This window comes from Homo sapiens, chromosome 7 (assembly GCF_000001405.40).
Source record: "Homo sapiens chromosome 7, GRCh38.p14 Primary Assembly".
NCBI classification, from domain to species: domain Eukaryota; kingdom Metazoa; phylum Chordata; class Mammalia; order Primates; family Hominidae; genus Homo; species Homo sapiens.
This window is the reverse complement of record NC_000007.14, coordinates 154,606,990-154,626,371: the sequence shown is the minus strand read 5'-3', so window position 1 is coordinate 154,626,371 and position 19,382 is coordinate 154,606,990. Positions and strand designations below refer to the sequence as shown.

Sequence of the window (19,382 nt, the reverse complement as noted above, 5' to 3'; positions counted from 1 at the left end):
GAGATGAACAATAAAAATTTCACTTGTGATTTCAACTGTGTTTCCAAATATGCGTTTCAAAAACATCTGTGACATCCAGAAATAGCTGAGTAATTACAAAATATATATTTCCTTCAGTCTCCACTTGGACATTTCAATTCCAATAGCTGCTCCTATGTGTCTTCAGCTCATCTTCTGGGAAACAAATGAAATCAGCCATAGCATTGCTAGGAGGAAATTCAAAGGAAGAAACCCATGAGAATTTCCTCCTAACTAATTTTCCAGGATGCACACCAGCATGCCTGCTTTCTTCCCAAGCTTGTCATATCCCTGTCTTCTACTGGCGGCCACTGAGAAACAGGTATCCGAGCTTCACACCAGCCTGGCAGCCAACCTCCTACTTTACTGCCTTTGTATTTTGTTTTGTCAGACCTTGCTGCTGACTCATTCGTAATTCTGCTCCAGAATACAACATTTTCCTTTTTCTTGCTCGATTTACTGTCTTCTTTTTCTCTCCTGCATATACTGGCTCCAAATCCAAAACAGGTGCTGGGAGATGGGATGAATTGTGGGAAGGACTGAGGGCAGCTGAAAGAGGCAACAGAGGGGGAAAGGCACAGGGGGCTTGCCCCACAAACACAGGGTGGGTCTGTCTGTACCGTGCGCCTTGCACACACCCTGCCCGCAGCAGCTTGGGGCTTCTTTGCAGCCTTCCCTGCTGTATTTCACCTGTCAGCCCCCTGGTCCCTCATAGCACTGAGGGTCAAGTGCATTGGGCTCACTTCCAAAAACAGACAAAGAGATGGTGCTGCACAGCTGGTTCTCTTCCTAGGTCACTAAGGGAATGGAGGACATCATTTGGCGCTTAATTACAACCATACAAAGACAAACATCTACCTGTGCTTCCTTTATAAGAAGGCACACTAGAAATATCTCTATGCTTGCATGTAGGCAGCCTGTGTCTAAACTTATCCTTCACCAAAGGTTAGCAGTGAAGAGTCCAGTCAAGTCAGCATCTTTCTTTCCACTTCTTCCCTCTCCTGCTGTTTCTCCTTCTATCTTAAAAAAAAAAAAGTGTCTGTGTGTGTATCTGCATGATGCCACATAGCTGCTTAGTTTATTCTTGGCAAGTCAGCTTCACTTTGCTGACTTTCAAGCCTAAAGTTTCCATCCTTAACTTTTCATCAGCTGCTTACCATGCCCACTTGGATGTCAACATTCTGCCCCACGTGCACATGTGGAAGACTGAGGAGTCTGTCAGATTATTCACGGATGCTCTGATGATTACCTGCTCAGTTTCTGACTCATTGTTTTCTCCTAATCTTTAAGCTGTTGACCTGCCCCTTGGTATTGCTGTATATTTATCCACTGGCCATTAATCCACACAACATAAATCCCACTGGTGTCCGGGTGATGGTGATGTCACAGTTTATGGTGGTGTCCACATTGTTGTGTGTGTTAAGGTGGGAGCCAACTCTGAAATGTAAAATGTTGGTCATATGCTCAGCCCTGAAGCATGCTCACAGATGGGAGGAAGACGGGGCCGCTGTGTGCCTGCTTCTGTTAGCATAGCCAGTGTTTCTCACCCATCACTACTGGTAAGAATCCTGGGGTGGGGTCCCTGACATGGTGCAGATTAACAGGTTTCTTCCTGGGAGACACTGTTTCCTAGGCTCCAGGCTTGGAGCTTAGAAATATGTGTTTCTAACAAGGGCTCCATTGCTTTCTATTGTTTGTGTGCAGAGCAGCAAGGTACCTGACCACCACGGGGTCATCCTCTTAGTGCCCACATGCCCTGAACAAATGCCTGGTGACAACTTCGGAAGCAGATGCTGAGCCCTGACATCTCACCCTCCCACTGTGCTCCTAAGTACTCTCTTCTCTGCATATATTTTTTGTTTGTTTGTTTGTTTGTTGAGACAGAGTTTCACTCTTGTTGCCCAGGTTGGAAGGCAGCGGCGCAATCTCTGTCTCCTGGGTACAAGTGATTTTCCTGCCTCAGCCTTCTGAGTAGCTGGGATTATAGGCACCTACCACCACACCAAGCTGATTTTTTTTTTTTTTTTAAGATGGAGTCTCACTCTGTCGCCCTGGCTGGAGTGCAGTGACGTGATCTTGGCTCACTGCAACCTCTGCCTCCCGGGTTCAAGCAATTCTCTGCCTCAGCCTCCCAAGTAGCTGGATTTATAGGCACCCGCCACCACGTCTGGCTGATTTTTGTATTTTTAGTAGAGACAGGGTTTCACCATTTTGGCCAGGCTGGTCTTGAACTCCTGATCTCATGATCCACCCGCCTTGGCCTCTCCAAATGCTGGGATTACTGGCGTGAGCCACTACACCCGGCCTAATTTTTGTATTTTTAGTAGAGATGGGGTTTCACCATGTCGGCCAGGCTGGTCTCGAATTCCTCACCTCAAGTGATCCACCTGCCTTGGCCTCCGAAAGTGCTGGGATTATACCATGCCCAGCCCTCTATATAGTTTTGAAATAAACCTTTTTCTCCCAGATTATTTGTAAATAAATTTTTAAAGCATAAATACTTTGGGGTAAGTTTATGCTGTGTGTATTTATATCAATTAAATGCTATACATAGTTATAACTTGATAAATGGTAATATTGGTAGATAAAATCCCAATTTATATTTTCAGAGCACCAAAAATGTGCTAAATTGTTTTCTGTTGTTGTTTTTCCTGAATGACTCTGTGTGTGCATGTGCGTGTGTGTGTGCGTGTGTGTGCGCGTGTGTGCGCGTGTGTGCACGCATGTGTGCGCGTGTACGTGCGTGTGTGTCAGCGTGTGTGTGCGCGTGTGCGTGCGTGTGTGTGTGCGTGTTGCGTGTGTGCGTGTGTGTGTGTTTGTAAAATCCTCTCCCCTTTTCTGGGCAGATCCAAGGTGACACATACATTTTTATTATTTGAAGTATCATATTCAAGGTCTTTCAGCTCACCCTGGTGGGATCAAGAGGTTCCCGACGCAGCAAAAGGCACCGCCCCTCCCACTGCCACCACACAGGCCAGAATTAAAAGCGCACCACTGACTGCCCAGGGAATAGTTTGTTTCCAGCACAGCGATGGACAAAGTTCCACAGATATAAAGAGAAATATTCCCTGGGCATATTTTCAGTAGCAGGCATTTAGTGCAACGCACCGGCAACAGCATACACCCTCAGGATGTATCAGTAGACTTGCACCCAACACATAAGCAAAGGCTGGAGACTTTTCTGCAAACTGTTACAAGGCTGCTGAACATGAAGGGTTTATCTCACCAAGTAAAGGCCAGGAAATAACAGAGTGGACCCCACTGATGAGGCTCAGTGCCACCTGGATACAAGACTAGGAGACAATCCAGACGGGTCCACAAAGTGCATTCTCTCCATCACCCCCAACAGAGTTTTCTGCAGCAACTGAAATTGATTATCTGTATCAGAAACCTGGCATTCTGCATTTAAGATTGCTTTAGCTTAATCCACCAAGTCCCTTGTAACAAATCCCTTCTTGGGTAAGACAGACAATTAGATTGGATGAAAGTGACCAGAGAAGGTTCTGGAATCTAACAGGCAAAAATCTGCTGAGAGAGATTCCCACAGCAGGCTGCCCTGGCTGGGACCGTGGTCCATGTGTGCTGTACTTTAAACCATAAGACCTCATAATCCCTGCAGTACTGCTTCCCCATAAACGAATGACCATTCATTTAATGGTCATTCGATGGTGTTGGTCTCATTCATGCTGCTATGGTATCCACGTGTATCTACAGTTAGAGTAGGAAGAGACGGGGATGTTTGGTAGACATAGTCTTTCTTGCTCTGATTCCAGCTTGTTTTCTGTCTCCTTGGCTACCTCTTTCTGGAAGAATCAAGTCTTCTGATCAGCAAGCCAGGACTTCCGGAGTAATTCTAAAAAGCCAGTGGGTCTTGTCCAACCAGACCCTGTACAGACTAGGAGGTCTGGGATATTCTGTGACAATTCCAGGCTGAAGCAGAAAAGCAGAGGCTACAGGTAAACAGGAGCAAGCAGGGTCAATTGGGCCTCCACCTATTTCCAGCATAATTCCCATCTATTTCCACATATGCCACATATCTGGCATATGTGATTCCGTCAAAACCAGCCTCTGTAACATCTTCTTGAGCTGCCAGTAGCAAATGTAGTGCCATTGTCGCTATATCATTTGCCATCCAAAGTGGCAAAGTGAAAGTGGTGCTATTAATAACTATGTTGGGAAAACAGGCATCACCAGACCAACTGGGCTATGTGGTCTCCCTCATTACCGTCTCTTGGTGAGTGATCCTACTGCCTGGCAGAGTAATAAGTTACTTTTCCAGTTTAACTAGGAAAAGAAGAAATTCAATAAGGACCTGATAAAGGAGGGTAAAACCAGAGAAAATAAGCAATCATTGGGGGAAATATATTAAGCACATCATTAAGAAGGAATCACAAAGCTCCTAAAATTGTTGAGTGCCGCACGTTTGCACAGTTAGTACTTTACATCACATGGTACGACAAGCCTCTTTTCCCAGACATTCTATGGACTCATGTGCCAGTGTTGGGTGGCACTGTTTGCCAGCAGGTTGAAGTGCCACCTGACTTGAGGTGGGCAGGGAGGTCATGGAAACAGATAAACGGTAGGCATGAGGAGGGAAGAGAAACCAAGAGAAGGGCATGGGAAGACCCTTTTTATCATGTTGGAAGAGAAAAAATTACGGCCTAGAATTAAAACCTTAAAAATTAGAGGCCTGGTGCGGTAGCTCATGCCTCTAATCTTAGCACTTTGGGAGGCCAAGGTGGGCGGATCACCTGAGGTCAGGGGTTCAAGACCAGCCTGGCCAACATGGCGAAACCGTCTCTACTAAAAATACAAAAATTAGCTGGGTGTGGTGGCATGAGCCTGTAATCCCAGCTACTTGGGAGGCTGAGGCAGGAGAATCGCTTGAACCCAGGAGGCGGAGGTTGCAGTGAGCTGAGATTGCACCACTGCCCTCTAGCCTGGGCGACAGAGTGAGATTCTGTCTCAAAAATAAATAAGTAAATAAACAAATAAATTAGAAATCATATATCAAAATCAATGTTGAAAAGGACTCTCGGTCAACTAATTACACATAGGGTTATATTAAGTTATAAGACCGTGGAGATTTTTAATACATGACATAAACATATTATAGACTCATTCTTAGCAGGCTTCCAAATCATGTCGTAGTTGCCAGTAGAAGCTAAAACCATCAAATAAATGACTTCTCAGATAGGGAGGAAACAGAGAGGAAATAATTTTTAAAATTCAGGTTCAGAGTTGACTAGCATTGGGAAACAGGAACTCTTGAAAACATAGGGGTAGTATTGAGGTAGGGTTTCAGCTCTGAGTTCTAAAAATAGGTTTTCTTTTCAGCTATAAATGTCCATACAGTTCTTGTAGTCTTAGAAGATTTCAAGTGTATGGCATTCTAAAGAAAAGCATCAGTGATCCTAAAATGGCATTAATTTGAAGTTTGAAGCTATTTTGATAGGCCTCTGATTGTATGTGGTGAAAGCTTCATATTTAATGTGAGTTGTCTGCCGCTGTGGATGGGGAGGAGTCCACCAAAACAATTTGGAAAAGTACTATCTGGTATTTGTTTCAATCCTGTATGTAAAAACAAAACTGCAAACGAAGGTATGGAAGTATAACTAATGGAAAAGCATGTGCTACTTGCTGACGGGGACGTCGTTACAGCTCGTAACATCACCTCTGCTATAGAGAGGACTCCACAGGCAGTGCCAAATGGAGGAAAAAAAACTCATTCAGAGTGAAAACACCCTTGAAATTATTCATGTAATGCAGAAGGAAAAAAACACTGCACACTTGTGTCATTAAGATCATTTCTGAGCCTCCCATCCTAATTGGCAATTCTGCGTGTAGTGAAATTTTGTGTTCTACATTAAAGGCCTCTAAATATATCCTCTGGTTTTGACAGTTCCAAAAACATTTGAGAAATCACAGTATGTTTTGCCTTTGAGATGAATTTTAATCCTGGGTTGGGAAGAAAAGGACCTAACATTTTAATGTGTGGCATTCGGAAGCCGTATGATTACGATGAAACTGACATTAAAAAGTGATCAGTCGCTACTGACTATATAGTCACCATATGCTCAGGGTCCTCTACTGAACATTTAAGAAAGAATCTTTCCATATTTACACTGGGTGCTAAATTCTTTTTACATTTTCCCAGAGTTAAAAATACTGATGTAATTAGCTAATGTGGGTCTTCAGTCCTCACCAGATGGCAATGCAAGTCCTCTAGAGGAGCTGGGGTCTGTGCAGAGCTTTCAAGGCGTGGTCCTCAGACCCTTCACTTGCATCAGAATCATTCAACGTGCTTGTGAAATGTGCGGATTCCTGGGCCACCCCAGATTACCTGCATCAGAATCTTTGAGGCTTTGAATCTGCATTTTGACAAAGCTGTGCAGATACTTCAAGTGCTTCTCTGTGAGCACACCAAGAGTTGAAAACCTCTATCCTAGGTACCTGGTTTGCAAACCTGGCTCCACTTAGACATCACCTGGGACTTTTTAAAAAAGTACTGATGTTGAGGCCCCACCATCAGAGAATCTGATTTGCTGGATTCTGTATAGTGATTCTAATGTGCAGTGGCGTATGCAACCCGCACTTCTAAGTATAACGTATAATGTGGTTGTATATCTACACATATACACATCTATGTTTCTGCACATAAATACACACAAAACAAAGTACTTAACCTTGGTGCTGTGGGCTTTCTGCTGTCAATTCCATCCCTGAAGGTGACCAGGGCTCTTTCACAAATTTTTACCTGTATTGTTATGCTATAAGCTTATTGATCCCTCATCAGCCACAAATACACTAGCCTCCCTGGCTGTGTAATATAGGTGAGAGTTTCATAAGTGTGTTCACATATCACTGGTGGCAGGTGAAGCCATCTTCAGTGGTTTGTGAGCAAACATTCTTTTCATTATCACAATTTTCCATTGTTTTTCCTGTATAATTGAAAAGATATAAGTAGCTCATCCAACCTAGATACCATTAACATGATTGCTTAGGACAAGGCAGCAATAGGTAACGCTACGAGGCTTACGTTGATTTGAAGATACTAGTAGGCAGTTAACAGGTGGTAGATGGTACCCTTTGGAGTCATGAACATGGAGTGCCTATGCTGTGCCAATCGATGGTATGTGCGTATTAGTCTGTTCTCACCCTGCTAATAAAGATATACCTGAGACCGGGTAATTTACAAGGAAAGGAGGTTTAATGGAGTCACAGTTCCACATGGCTGGGGAGGCCTCATCATCATGGCTGAAGGCAAATGAGGAGCAAAGTCACATCTTACATGGCAGCAGGCAGGAGAATGTGTGGAGGGGAACTGCCCTTTATAAAACCATCAGATCTTGTAAGACTCATTTACTCTCACGAGAACAGCATGGGAAAAACCTGCCCCCATGATTCAGTTACCTCCTACCAGGTCCCTCCTACAACATGTAGGGATAATGGGAGCTACAATTCAAGATGAGATTTGGGTGGGGACACAGCTAAACCATATCAGTGTGTAACTCTGGGCAAGTCACAAACATACTCTGCATCTCAGCTCCCTCCTCTGTGACATGCAGATGATAATAGTGCTGAGATTACATGAGTAAGTGAAGTTAAAATGAGATAAAGCCTACAGAGCATTTAGTAGGCATGTGCTGAGTTTTCAGTACATGTAAGAGCAGCACATGGATATGGTCCCCATCAGGAGGGTGGAAGCTGGGCTGTGGCCCCGGCTTCTAGCGATCCTGTGCGTGGCTCTGAGCACATCATAAACTCTGTGGGTTTCTGCTTTCATATGAGGAAAATGCAGGGCTATATTAAAAATATGATGAGAGTCAAACTAGAAATTGTCTAAGGCTCCTACCTGCACCCTGATTTTGATCTTCTAAAGGAAATCAATGGTCTAACAAGACAAAGGGGAAGCATGTCTGGGCAAGCAACAGTGTGTGTGCACAGGAAGGGTCTGAAATCCAGCTCGCTGCAGTTAGAGGGCTGGTCTCCCTGAGACCTCAGTTCAAACAGCTCCGTTCACCCGCTCAGTGAGCCTAATCTCATCCTGAAGCATCTCTGCTGAGCTTCCTCAGGGGTTGGGAAAGGACACGACCCTGGAAACCCATTAGGGGCAAAATAACTCAGGGCTGGACCTCTTTACTCTGTGAGAAAAGCAGCTATGCTTTTTCACAGGGTACAATTCCGGGATCATACAGCTCTGGAACCTTCCAGCAGCAACTTTAATAGCCTTATGGGGGAAAGAGCGAGAATGCAACCAGCAACAGTGCAAAGGGGGAAAGCCTGTGTGAGCAGACAGCATTGTGGGAGAGACCAAGAGAGAAACTGAGGCCTTTGCACATCGTTTGAGTCCCGGGTCTGCAGCCCCTATGGCCTAGCTCTCGACTGGTCACTTATGAAGTCCCTCTCCCTTCTTTAATGAAGCCACTCTGGGTCAAGTTTTCTTTCCCATGAAAAAAAGCACGACGCCTCCCGATGACCTGGAGAATCTTTGTCCTCCTGGGTTTTCCAGTGCTACTAAACCTTCTGTCTTTAACTTGTTTTCCATTGGCCTGGACTCTAGCATTTCTCTTTAGTCTTCCAACTGAGAATGATTTGCTATTTTCTTGGGGGAAGGGTATGGAGCAGGTCTTTGCTTATTTCTCTAGTAATACATACTCCAGTAACCAATACTCTTACATATTTATTAATTTATTTGTTCACACATACATTTGTCCATCCATCAACCAAATGTTCACGAGCAGTCACCAACGGGCAGGGATGGTGGTGGGAGGTGAAGTTCTTTGCTCCATATCACAATTGTCAGAGAGAAAATAGAGTCTGGTGGCTGATTTCAGTTGTGGTCAGTGAGTCTCATTAGATGACCCTTGATTCCTGGCCATCTGATATGACCTATTCGCACAATCGGATTGCTTACCTCAAATTGCCATTTGCAATTGCATTTCTATTCCTAAGATGGATATGGCAGTAGAGTTAGAACATTAGATGCTGTAATTCCAGGATCCTTAACTGCACACAAAAACAATTGCCAACAATACATTTTATATCCCCAAAGAAACTTCTTCTGCTTCCAGAGTGGACCATGGGGTGGAGTGAGAGACTCACAGCATAAAGAGCCTGCTTCCCTGCCCTTCTGTCCTCAAAGCTGGGTTTGTATTTTTGGTCTCTGTACCAAACACAAAGTGCAGGGCCCTCTGTAGGAATTCCAAGGCTTGGTAAGTATATGCTTTAGGTCATGGGCTAAGTCAGTGAGCCTTCTTAAAAGCCAAACCAAACACATTCTATCCAAGATGCATTCATATGGAGCAGAAACTGAACAAATACTTGGCGTTGGGGTGATGAAGGCTGACTGCTGATGGCATCTGACATCAGCTACACGTGGAGATTCTTTGGAAAGACAGTTCATGATCTCCAACTTGCAGCTGTTGTTTTTTCTTTGCTAGAGGTTATAGATTTTTATCTGGATAAAATAATATTTTTAAGAAGACAAAATTTGAAGATGTAGGCATCTGCTTCCTACAAATGAGATGGAACGTTTAACATTCCAGCATGTTTCCCGTCACTGTGGTTCCCTGGAGGCGAATGCTCACGGCTCCTCCTTAGGTATGTAAAGACCTAGTTTCACTGTTTGTGCTGCTTTTCTTCTCTTATTTGTATTTGCTCTATTTACTTAATTGAACCTAGGTCCAGATGAAAGAACCATCTCATGTTGTATTCCCAAAGAGGAAATGATTCTCTGGTGACCCCCTTGGGGATTCGCTCGCGCCCGAGAGTCACAGAGAAGGAATGTTTTCTCTATGCCTATGGTCTCCCATAGCCTCCCAGCCCTCCTAAACCAGCAACTCTCTGTGTTTGCATTTTTAGACCCCTCTCAGTATTGTTTTTGATTCTACCCTCTTTCAACTCAAAAATAAAGGAGGGGAGGGGGGCGTTAGAACTTCCTTAAGCTCAAAATTTCATGGACAATTGTGAGCTGTTTGCAGAAGACAGTGTTCACTGTTGAAAAGGCACTGGGATCAATGGAATCTGTCTTTAGAATGCAGATCCCTAAATCTTACCCAAGACCTGTTGAATTACAGTTTCTAGGGGATGGAGCTGTGAATCAGCTCCAGACAGAACCACTCCTGGGCATGGGGACAGCTGACCATCCTGTAAATGTAGGGCTTCCCAAGCTCATGGGTAGGCGGGCTTTTCAGTGGGGTGACTGACTCTGATAACGCCAAATTAGAGACATCTGGGTGGGGCTGTACCCAAATCATCCCAGGAAGCTGAGCTGGCCGCCTCCTGTTCTTATCAAAAATCTCCTTGGGAAGAAGCTTCTCCTAAAACTGGAGGGGGAGTAATTATGCTAAGAGCAATACACCAGATGCAGAAAGATAGACACTGTACGAGGTACCTGGAATAGGCAAACTCCTGGGGAATTCAGGCAGAGGGAGACTTACCAGGGCTGGGAAGAGTGGGAAGCGGGAGTCAGTGTTTAATGAGGACAGGGTTTCTGTTGTGGATGATGAAAAAGTTTTGTGTATAGATAGTGGTGATGGTTACACAACATTGTGAATGGTAAGAGTAGGAAAGGGGAGTTAGTATTTAACGGGGACAGAGTTTCTGTTGTGGATGATGAAAAAGTTTTGTGTATAGATAGTGGTGATGGTTACACAACATTGTGAATGGTAACAGTGGGAAGGGGAAGTCAGTATTTAATGTTGAAAAGGCATTGGGATCTGTTGCGGGTGATGAAAAAGTTTTGTGTATAGATAGTGGTGATGGTTATACAACGTTGTGAATGTGTTTAATGCCACTGAATCGTATACTTACTTACGGATGGTTAAAATAATAAACGTTATGTGTATACATTTTTTTCCACAAAAACTGGAGGGAAAATGGATTATAATATTTTAAAATTCAATATGTGATTAATAGTCATTTGGAAAGAAAATGTGAAAGTATTGTACGGTGAATAAAAACCCTAGGAAGAAACCCATTTCCTAATCTGTAGGGCTGGCCTATGAAGCATGAGTTCATGGGCTCCAGAGTTATTTCACTATCAGGAATTGCACGTTATTGGCTTTTCACAGAATACATATAATTGCTGGAACTACAGAGCAAAGAGGCTCGTTAGGATAATCTTCCAGGCCTCCTCATTTTGCAGGTCAGGAAGTTATTTGGCTCTGGTTCTGGCTCCAGAAATCTACCCATGATAAAGATGGGCAAGAACCACGGCCTTTTGATTTCCAGCCCAATATGCCTCCCTGCAAAACTCTCCTGTACAGGAAAATCAAAACAGCCCCAGAAAACACACACTAAGTTCTGACCGTCTCTTGTCAAATAGGGGCCTCCAGCTGACCACAGCGCCCAACGTAGCCTGCACTGAATGAAAGATTCACCCATGGACTCCACATGTATTTGCCCAGTTAAACTCACAGCGGTCCCATGAGGGAAGTGAATGATTAGTTTGCACATTGAAATGGGAATTGGAAGACAACAACATTTGACATACTTGGCCTCTTTTGCAATTTTCTCATCAAAGGCAAGTTCTCTATAAATGTCTAACAGAAATGACTTACAATAATTAGGCCTTCTCCCTTCTTCCGTTTATCTAATAAAAGTGCTCTAAATGGTTAATGCTAATATCTCAGAATGCTTCAATTAAATGAAACATTAACATTTAAAGTTAGCTTTCAGGAGAATTTAAACTTGAAGTTTCTACTGATTGCCTTGCTGCTGACATTAATTTAAGCACAAGCAATCATGAAACCACCAAATAGTTCAGAGAAACATGGTTTTCAAGCAAAGGTGAGATAACTTTGTCAAGAAAAGAAAACAGAGCTATAAAACCTAATAAACCATTGAGAACAACCACACACAGTACTCTGACTTGAGTCAGATTGAGACCTTTCCATTTGCACCTAAATTCTGCCTGGAAAAAAAGCTACATCAAAGCTTGATACAGAAGAAAAAATGCAAACAGAATGGAACACACCTTTCCTTCCTCTTTCTTTCAAAAAACCTAGGCTAATTCCATAATTATTTCATTAAAATAGCCTCTAACTCCTCCCATAATTAAACCAATCCCAAAAATAGGAAAATTAAAACCAACAGAACAACCAGTTAAAAGAAGCTAACGCAAGCTAACCCTATGTGAGCCTGATTTATGTGATGAGAGAAGGGAAAATAGGAGACCAGTGTACAGGAAGGAGAGCCACACTGCTGTGCTGGATTGGGAAGGGAGAATAGCTGCAAAGAGAGAAGAGAAAGGGAAGACAGCTGTGGATGGGCAAGGTGGGGTGGAGAGTGGAGGCACAGAGGCTGGCCGTGCTGCCGCTGGAGAGTGGCTCTCAAGAGGCCATGTTAAAAGAAGACACTGTATGCGGAATGCGGAAAGCAGCAGAAATGATTTCCCACCAAATCCTCTCCATCTGGAGGCTTGGCGCAGGGCGTGGCTGGCCATGTGGTTGCATGCTGATGGAGGTCCTGCTGCTCAGCTGTGGCTTGTGTTTGACATTCTAGAATGAAGGTAGGACGTTTGGGGAATGGGTGGCCCAATTTTGGGAATAATAGATTTTATTATCAGTTAGAAGCTCAATTTAATCAGGACAACATAAAACAATGAGGGAGTAATGTAGGGTTGCAGACAAAGCTCTACCATTGATTATTTTGTGACTCAAACAAGTGTCTGATTTGAGCAACTTGCTTCATCTACTTTTTTTTTTTTTTTTTTTTTTTTTTTTTTTTTTGAGACAGAGTCTCGCTCTTGTTGCCCAGGCTGGAGTGCAATTGCACGATCTCTGCTGACCACAACCTCTGCCTCCTGGGTTCAAGCGATTCTCCTGCCTCAGCCTCCCGAGTAGCTGGGATTACAGGCATGCACCACCATGCCTGGCTAATTTTGTATTTTCAGTAGAGACGGGGTTTCACCATGTTGGTCAGGCTGGTTTCAAACTCCCGACCTCAGGTGATCTGCCTGCCTCAGCCACCCAAAATGCTGGGATTATACGTGAGCCACAGCACCCAGCCTGCTTCATCTGTTAAATAAGGTTTACAGCATCTGCAACCCTTAACTCCTTGGTTTATGGTTATTCAATAAACAAAACAACATTCAAATACCATTTAGAAAGTAAATGTCATTACATACCTGTTATGAACAGAATGTCTGTGTACCCCAGAATTCATATGTTGAAACCTTACCCCCTGATGGATAAGGAGCTGTGGACTTCAGGAGGTAATGAGGATTAGATTAAGTCATAAGGGCAGAGCTCTCATGAATGAGATTAGTGCCCTCATTATAGTAACGAGAGAGCTTGTTTCTCCTCTCTGCTCTTCACCACATGAGGCTACAACAAGAAGTCAGAAGTTTGCAGCCTAGAAGGTGGACCTCACCAGAAATGGACCATGCCAGCACCCAGATCTTAAACTTTCCCCTGAACTGTGAAAAATAAACTTCTGTGAAGCTACTCAGTCTATGGTAATTTGTTACAGTAGCCCAAATAAGACAATAAGCCCAATAAGACAAGTCCTATTAGAATGCCTAAAATACAAGATAATGAAAACACCACATGTTGATGAGGACAGAGGGAAACTGAGTCACATATTGCTGGTGGGAATGGAAAATGGCATAGTCTTTCTGGGAAACAGTGACTGTTTCTTTAATAAACTAAACTTCCAATCACCACGCAACCCAGCAGTTGAATTCATAGACAAGAATCCCAGAGAAATGAAAACTTACACTCACATACCATACTTGAATGTTTATAGAAGCTTCCTTTGTAATAGCCCAAAACTGGAATAAACCCAGATATCCATAAATGAGTGAATGGTTAAACTGTTACACCAATACCATGGAATATTACTCCGCAATAAAAAGGAACCCGCTATGGATACATGAACAGCTTGGGTGGATCTCAGGAGTTATGCTAAACAGAAAAAGCCAATCTTACAAGGTTACATATTTTATAAATCTGTTTATATAACATTCTTGAAATGACATTATTAGAGACGGTCAATAGATTGATGGTTGTCAGGGGTTAGGGAGGGAAGGAGTGGCTGTGGCTGTCAGAGTATCACGAGGGGTCCTCATGACAGAACTGCTCTGTATCTTGACTATGGTGGTGTCTTAGTCCTTTTTGTGCTGCTAAAACAGGATATCACAGTCTCAGTAATTTGTAATGAACAGAGATCTATTGGCTCGCAGGTCTGGAGGCTGGAAAGCTTAAGATCAAGGGGCCCACATCTGTCAAGGGTCTCTGGAGGAAGGCAGAAGGGCAAGACAGCAAGCTCACAGACTCAAGCTGTTTTTGTAATCAGTATCAATCCATGGCCTAAACACCTTTCATTGGGCTGTACCTCCCAGCACTATTGCAGTGGAGATTAAATTTCCAACACATGTTTTTGTAAGAACACATTCAAACCACAGCAGGTGCTATTACACAAACCTACACATATAATAAGATTGCACAGAACTAAATACACCCATACACCACACACACACACACACACACACATATATGAAAGCAAAATGGAGAAATCTAAATAAGATTAGTTGATGTCAACATCTTGGTTTTGATATTGTACTATAGTTGTGCAAGATGTTAACTTTAGGGGAAGCTGGGCAAAGAGTACATGGGATCTTTGTGTATTATTTCTTAAAATTGCATGTGAGTCTCCAATTATTCCAAAATGCAAAGCTATATCTTCAAAAAATAAATAACATACATGAGATAAAGTGTTAGCACTATTAGAAGAAGTCTCATTGTTAGAAACAAGGATATCTTCTATTGGTAAAGAATGGCTGGTTGCTTAATATTACACACACACACATGCACACACTCCTCTAGGATGTCTATGAGAGATGAGGAAGCAAGAAAAAATTTCTAGAACCAAAAGACAAAACATCTCTCTTGGATAACCAAAGAGGTCCACTTTTTGTTGTGGGGGCTTTTTTGGCATCCCACAAACATTTGCTGAACCACTATTTTGTGTGAAGTGCCCCTCTCTCAGCACTAGATATAAAATGAATAATACACTCTGCCCGTATCCATTTCCCAAGCTAACGAGATAAAGTGATGTGTGTTCGTACGTAACAAGCAACATCATTTATCTGAACTAATATAGGTCTCCTATCAAAAAGATTCCACCTTATCTAACCATGGTGGAGGGTAGAACTGTTCATTGTCAAAACATGTACAAGTCACATGAGTCAGAAGACACGAGGTAACAAGTAGTTTTGGCCATCACAGCTATAATTAGGCCCTTTGCAGAGATGGCTGCATGAAACCATCTATAATGTAATAATGGACACAAATTCATCACAGGCAAGTTACCAGATACACTCTAGCACAGTAAATGAATTTAACAGGCAGCCAGCTTGGAGTTAAAATACCATTTATACTGAGAGTGAGGAAAGATGATTCAGTGTCAATGTCTTACAAAGGTGAGAGGTTAGAAGTTGGAAATTACAATCCAATAAGCCAAAGTCTAGCACCACATAAAATGCTGGGATTAAACTGAAAAAGGATATTTCAGATGAGTGAATAAGGGTGAAAATCAGTGCAAACCCTGGGAAAAGAATAAGAGAATTTTCCAGATGAGAAACGCAAATACAGGTGCACAATCACACACACACACACACACACACACACACACACACACAGAGAACAACACAGACACAAATAATAAAAAAAAAACATAAATTGGAAGAGATTTTACTCAAGGTTCAATATAACATTTGATTTAATGCTAATGTAAGACCTCACTATCAAAGACAGAATGTTGGCCGTAGAAGCAATATGCCATTGCAGAACTCAAAGAGACTTTTAGCTACATAAGACAGGTGCTGCAAGAAATGACAAGCTCATTGTCACAACTTGGTACCTACAAGTGGTAGGAAATTCAATTTTCAGCCCAACTCTTCTCTGCTCTCTCCTTGCTTTGAATCATCCTTTCTTTTGACCCCATGTAACACCTCAGGGTCTTTCTTCATTTCCTTCTCCCACCTGAAATGCCTCCCCATCGATATTTTTTACCTAGATTTCTGCACCCTTTTCAAGACTCAATTTCAAGGCTGTCAAGTGAAGCCATTTGGAACCATATCAGCCCACAAATAGGCAGCTGATCTCAATACCACTCATTTGGTACTCAGAATTTGCTACTTAATATTGTTAGTTAATTAACAGACGTCTTCTCTCTTCAGTTGGACTATGGGTCAAGAAAGGTAAGGCGAGGGATATTCTTTCTTTCTTTCTCTTCCAGGGGTCAGAGACTATTTTGTTTCATAGAACATACCCAGCATCTAACACACCGCATACAACATGATAGCTGCCCAACAAAAATCTATTAACCAAAGGAATAAATGAATGGATTGTTTTTAGTTTTGTATGGTTATATGTGATATTGAAGACAAGGGTCAAGGCAGGTGCTTTTGTTTTTCCAAGGAGAATATAAAAAGCAGCGATCATTTCTGGAAAGGAGTGAATGGATCTATTGAAAGCAAAGATTTATTCCAGAAAAGGCATATTATAACTTATAATACATTAACTGGAAATTCTATCAAACGAACCACAGAGGTAAAGTAGAAATAACTTGGGAAGGGCAAGTCGTAAGAACAGCAAAGAGGCCAGGTGCACACATATCTTCCTACAGACAAGGAAGTTTGTTCTGTAGTGTTTGTGAACAGACTGTCCCACTGTGTGCTGTGTGTGAGCATGTATGTAAATGTGTGTGTGCTCATGTATGTGTGTGCATGCATGTGTAAAAGTATATGTGTGTGCATGTGCATGTGTGTGTGAATGAGAGAGACAGAGTGATCTAGAAACACTGGAAGAGGTATTGAAATGCTTGAGAGTATAAGATAGTGTATTATACCACAGGCACAAAAGAGTAAACAAATACAGTTGTAGAAACAAGGGCATTAAATTTAGATCAAAATCAACATGTCTACAGAGTAAATCCCCTAGTGAACTCGCTTGTAAGCTTGCATCTTAGATGTGATGACTTCTTTAGAAAATACTCTGAAAATGTGTAAGAAAGTCTCAGCAGACAAGATGGTTATATTGCAGGGCTCACTTGCATGGGCAATGCAAAGAAAGATAGTACTGGGTTCCTGCAACATGCTGTTTTAAGTTAACAGAGAATACCCTCCTATTACGTACACATGGATACAACATAACGAAACTGTTCGAGAATACGTAAAGTGCGAAATAAGGGAAATATCTAGATGCCAGAAGTGAAGATAAATTCACGATGAGAACATTTGAGTTTTGGCGAAAGTCTGGGCAGCTAGTGGGGCAGCAGGTCTGAATACAGGCCTAGGGTCTGAGGTTGTGATGACCTTACAGAAACAGGGTGAGTGCCTTGGGCCCTCCTGGGGTTAGGATCTAAAACTGTTGACCCTTAATAAAGCCAGTACCCATACATAGATTAAACTTTCTTGAAAACGGGACTGGAACTAGAAAATTCCATCTACCTGAACTGAAGCAGTTTATCAGTCACAGATATTCACGGAGATGACTCCTAAAGGTGACCAAATTCAGAAGGGAGGGGTAGTTGTCAACGATTAGCAATCAATTATTGAATATGTATAAATTAAGCTGTATAAATCAGTAATGATTATTATGACTAATTGACAGAAGGTTAAAATGATGGAATCAAAAGACCCAAGAGCAATAACATGAAATGAGTACAGGGATGACTGGAAAGGAAAACAGCAACAAAGAACATATGATCGGCCGGGCGCAGTGGCTCAGCCTGTAATCCTGGCACTTTGGGAGGCCAAGGCAGGCGGATCACTTGAGGTCAGGAGTTCAAGACCAGCCTGGCCAACATGGTGAAACCTCACCTCTACTAAAAATACAAAAAAAAAAAAAATTAGCCAGGTGTAGTGGCACGCTCCTGTAGTCCCAGCTACTCAAGAGGCTGAGGCAGGAGAATCCTTTGAACCTGGGAGGCAGAGGTTGCAGTGAGCTGAGATTGCGCCACTGCACTCCAGCCTGGGTAACAGAGCGAGATTCCATCTCAAAATATATATATATATATATATATGATCACTCCTAAAAAATGCAAGCATGGTATTTAGAAAAAACTAGGTGGGGCACAGTGGCTCACGCCTGTAATCCTGGCACTTTGGGAGGCCGAGGGGGCGGATCACGAGGTCAGGAGATCAAGACCATCCTGGCTAACACAGGGAAACCCCATCTCTATTAAAAATACAAAAAATTAGCCAGGTGTGGTGGCACATGCCTGTAATCCCAGCTACTTGGGAGGCTGAGGCAGGAGAATTGCTTGAACCTGGGAGGCGGAGCTTGCAGTGAGCTGAGATCGTGCCACTGCACTCCAGCCTGGGTGACAGAGCGAGACTCTGTCTCAAAAAAAAAAAGAAAAAAAAAAGAAAAAACTAAATATTATTTTAGGAATAGTTCAAGTTTACCAGTACAGTTGACCCTTGAACAACACAAAGATTAGAGATGCCAACTTCCCGTGTAGTTAAAAATACATGTATGATTTTGGCTCCTCCAAAACTTAACTACTAATAGCTTTACTAATAACATAGTCAATTAACACATATTTAGCACATTATAGGTATTATATGCTGTATTCTTGCAATAAAGCAAGCTAGAGAAAAGAAAATGTTATAAACATCATAAGGAAAAGAAAATACATTTACAGGACTATAATAAGTTCATGTTTTCTGTTTACAAGATGAATCGTCTGTCTAACATGGTGGGTAACCATTCACTCTATAGTACCCATCAAGCAATTCAACTTTTTCTTTCCTTTTTTTTTTTTTTTTTTTTTTTTTTTGAGACAGAGTCTTGCTCTGTCGCCCAGGCTGGAGTGCAGTGGCGCGATCTCGGCTCACTGCAAGCTCTGGCCTCCTGGGTTCACGCCATTCTCCTGCCTCAGCCTCCTGAGTAGCTGCGACTACAGGCGCCCGCCGCCATGCCCAGCTAATTTTTTGTATTTTTAGTAGAGACGGGGGGTTTCAGCGTGTTAGCCAGGATGGTCTCAATCTCCTAACCTCGTGATCCGCCTGCCTCGGCCTCCCAAAGTGCTGGGATTATAGGTGTGAGCCACCGCGCCCGGCTCAACTTTTTCTTGCAATGTCCTAACTTTCTCTGCTTCATGGGAACACTCCCAGCATTACTAGTGGCACTTCATATGTGTCCCATAGTTTTATTTAAGGTTTACTGTATTGCACTACCCATGAGGAAAAATACGTGAGAGATCACTTTTTCCTGTGATCCACAGTTTACTGGAGAAATGAGCTGCTCATGTGGAGATGATTGGCATCGCGTGGCATTTCATGCAGCTACTTGCAATCTACCACACTTAGCTCACCATAATAGCAGCAGCAGGTGGCTACAAAATTATTA

The 19,382-nt window shown here is 42.7% G+C and overlaps 1 protein-coding gene and 1 long non-coding RNA gene across 14 annotated transcripts in view; one reads left to right on the top strand and one right to left on the bottom strand.

Moving 5' to 3' along the window:
- The window catches only part of DPP6 (dipeptidyl peptidase like 6), a 1,146,153-nt gene that overhangs the window by 267,914 nt on the left and 858,857 nt on the right, over nucleotides 1-19,382 (bottom strand). The window contains exon 1 of one of the 13 annotated variants that reach the window (XM_017011812.3): nucleotides 1,176-1,346. The exons of the other annotated variants lie outside the window; for them this stretch is intronic. Within the exon in view, the coding sequence (XP_016867301.1) occupies nucleotides 1,176-1,178 (3 nt within the window). The 5' untranslated portion in view covers nucleotides 1,179-1,346. Of the gene's footprint in view, nucleotides 1-1,175; nucleotides 1,347-19,382 lie in introns of those variants that run through there. 13 annotated transcript variants of the gene reach the window in all.
- LOC105375581 (uncharacterized) lies at nucleotides 1,503-11,426 on the top strand. The gene is made up of 4 exons (XR_007060600.1): nucleotides 1,503-1,577; nucleotides 3,829-3,974; nucleotides 9,567-9,621; nucleotides 11,348-11,426. It is a non-coding gene; the product is annotated as an uncharacterized LOC105375581 (long non-coding RNA).